At 36.0% G+C, this 3,196-nt stretch overlaps 1 annotated feature.

Moving 5' to 3' along the window:
• Positions 406–565: an enhancer, noted in NCBI's record as "active region_21358". NCBI's record gives its function as "activates an Ori minimal core promoter by ATAC-STARR-seq in GM12878 lymphoblastoid cells {active_cell/tissue: GM12878}" and the evidence as "EXISTENCE:reporter gene assay evidence [ECO:0000049][PMID:35858748]".

Here is a 3,196-nt window from a genome sequence, read left to right as displayed (position 1 = left end):
GGGGATGGAAAGAAGAGCCCGAGGGGGCTGACATGATTCTCTTTGCTGTTTCACACATCTCTTGCGCAGTTATCATCTCCCTGGTCTGCCATTGTTTTCTTCTGGCCCAAGATAATATAGATTTTTTTAAAACCTTAATTCAAAAGCTGTTTCTTTTTATTGAGGAGTTAACTGGAAAGATTTTATCATTTTGTACAACAGTAGCAGAACTAGTTTTTAGTTCATGAAAAATATAAGATGTTTTTGTTTGTTTTCTGGATCACCTAACCTTAAATATTATAATATTTTGTAAGATTTTCAGAGCAGTTGCAAAAATAAAGGAACTTTTGTATCCTGTCTCAAAAACAGCTTCGTCAAAAGGAAAATCTGGTCTTCTGTGTCAATTTGAGAATCCCAAGCTTTGGGGTGCAAACTACAAGTAATACTTTGAACTACAAAGAAACCACAGGCTTCCAAAATAGTAACCAGCAGGAAGTTTTGGTTTTGGTTTTGGTTTGTTTTGTTTTTGAGACAAGATCTCGCTCTGTCACCCAGGCTGGAGTGCAGCGGCATGATCTCAGCTCACTGTAACCTCCGCCTCCCGGGTTCAAGCAATTCTCATGCCTCAACCTCCAGAGTCGCTGGGTTTACAGGCGTGGGCCACCATGCCTAGCTAATTTTTTTTGTATTTTTAGTAGAGACAGGGTTTTGCCATGTTGCCCAGGCATGGTCTCGAACTCCTGGCCTCAAATGATCCACCCGTCTCAGCCTCCCAAAGTGCTGGGATTACAGACATGAGCCACTGCACCTAGCTGGAAGTTTTGTTTTTAAAAAAAAACAAAAAACAAACTTTCTCTGCAATATTATTTTCAATTGATTGACTTGCATTTTATTTAAAACAGTTGATGATTTTCCTTCCAGAGGAGGAGGCAGCAAGGATTCTTTCTCCATGTTAAAAAATAATAACAGTAAAAGATACTCCATATAATAGTTAAAGAAAATGCTTAATGACAAAAAAAACCTGTGAATTAATTACACTCTTAAATGAGATTGCACTATACATGTCATAATAGCATCTTAACCGAATGGAGGAATAATAGTGAATACATGGGTGAGAATGAATTTCTTTAGTCTCTTGATTTCTCATATAAACTGATAGGATTTACTATTCTATTGCAATTAATTCATAGCCTTTTTAAGACTCAGAAGCCCAAAATGTGGGAAACTACAGTACGCAAGAAAAAAAATTACAGGTATTGAAACCAGTAAACTCTGGTTTTATTTCTGACTGTGCTTCATTTGTTGAACTTGGCCCAATGACCTTGAGCCTCAGTTTCCTCATCTGTCAAAAACAAGCACTAGTACATTCCTTACCAGATGTAATTATTAAGAGGAACAAATTAGAAAATAGATGCAAAATCTGGATGAAATTTTTAAAGTACTATACAAATTATTCACATTGTTTATTATTAGAAATACCATTAATTGTTTAATGCCTAATTTTAACAAATAAATCAAAACCTGCTATTAAATAGAAATATATTCAAAGTGAAGATGTGTGTAATTTTATATGCTTCGTAAATAAATATTTTTTCTTAATAAATCAAATTCACTGTGACACAGTCTTTAAACTGAGAAGCCCTCTTATTTTCAAAAAGAATGAAATTATTAATTGAAAAATTGGGTTAAATAGAACTTCATAACTCTCTTGATATTTATTTTTTAACTTATCATGGAAAAAAGTGCATGCCTTATCTCGCATTCAAATCATAAGCTCTTTGAAGACAGTGTTCTTGTTTGTTTCATCTTTGCAACCTTCACAGCGCCTGCACACATAGTTGAAAGCACAGTTATTATAAGCCACAGGCATCCAACAGAAAGAGAAACAGCTTAGCTTCAGATCCAAGTCTATCTAACATTACAGTCTTACCCTTTCCTGATGTTATCCCAGCACCATAAACTAGTCACTCATTTTGCAAAACAGTGTGTAAGGTTCTACTGGTAGCAGGTCCTCCACTTATGTAAGATTTCAGTTAACCTATACACTTGGCTTCTCCAACTTGTGTTCCTGGTTCATGCTCTTCTCACTGCTCCTACCTCTCAAACCTTTGCCTGGTTGGTCTTTTCCACAAAGAAAAGATACCTGGAGCCCTTTAACCCTAAAGCACAAAGTAGTCTCCTGATAGTATCTCCTCTACCCCAGACAGAAAAGATGTGGTTCCCACAGAATCTCTCAGATTCAAATTCAGGTTGGATAATTGATGTTTTGAAAACTTCTAAATGTCAGTGTTGTCCATCAGCATCCCTGTTGATATCAAACCGCTGAAAATCTTCACTACTTCCAAGTACTCTGTTTTCCATCTTGCCCCTGTGTTCCCAGTGCTACCTCACCATGGCTGGGTGCATCATAGAGACATTGGTGTGTAAAGTTGTCAGTTGGGTCTACTTCATTGCTTGCTCATCCTGGCCTTGTTCTCTAACATCTGGACTTCAGAGGGAAAACAAAAAATTACTCTTTTCCCTACAGAAAGGTAATATCCAAGGAATCAATTAATTGATGTGGTCCTACCTTTACCGAAAGCATGTCCCTCAGAAAGCTAGCCCCTGGAGATGCTCCACCAAAAAAAAGAAAAAAGAAAGAAAGAGTGAGGGAAGGAGGAAAGGAGGAAGGAAGGAAGGAGAGAAGGAAGGAAGGAAGGAAGAAAGGAAGGAAGGAAGGAAAAATGGTTGAGGGAGAGAAAAAAAGAAATATTCTTGTGATCAAAAAAAGTATGGTAATTAGTTCACAATGTATATGTAAATCAAAACATCATGTCACACACTTGAAATTTATGCAATTTTATTTGTTAATTTTGTCTCAAATCTGGAAATAAGTAATACTGATGACATTTTGCTAAAAAACAAAATGCAAGCAAACAAAAGTATGAGAAATTCTGCATACCTTACCATTTGCTTGCAGATTGACAAGAGATTTTCACACACCCTTAACTTCCCTAAAAGTAGGAAAGATGCAAGATGCTTCTACTATGTCCAAAAGGCTGCTAGTGACTTATGGAAGATACTTAACAAATATTTGTAAAGCAAAAAATTAAATTAATATTTAATTCTAAACACTGAGAACTACAATTTAAAACCTTTCTTTTTTTCAGTTTTGCTTCACTCGGATTTACCCAAATATATCTGAACCAAGAACACTTGTTTCAAGGAACATCTCTAA

The sequence above is a fragment of the Homo sapiens genome, chromosome 4 (assembly GCF_000001405.40).
Source record: "Homo sapiens chromosome 4, GRCh38.p14 Primary Assembly".
NCBI lineage: Eukaryota > Metazoa > Chordata > Mammalia > Primates > Hominidae > Homo > Homo sapiens.
The sequence above is the reverse complement of the archived record's forward strand: the minus strand, read 5'-3'. Positions and strand labels throughout refer to the sequence as shown.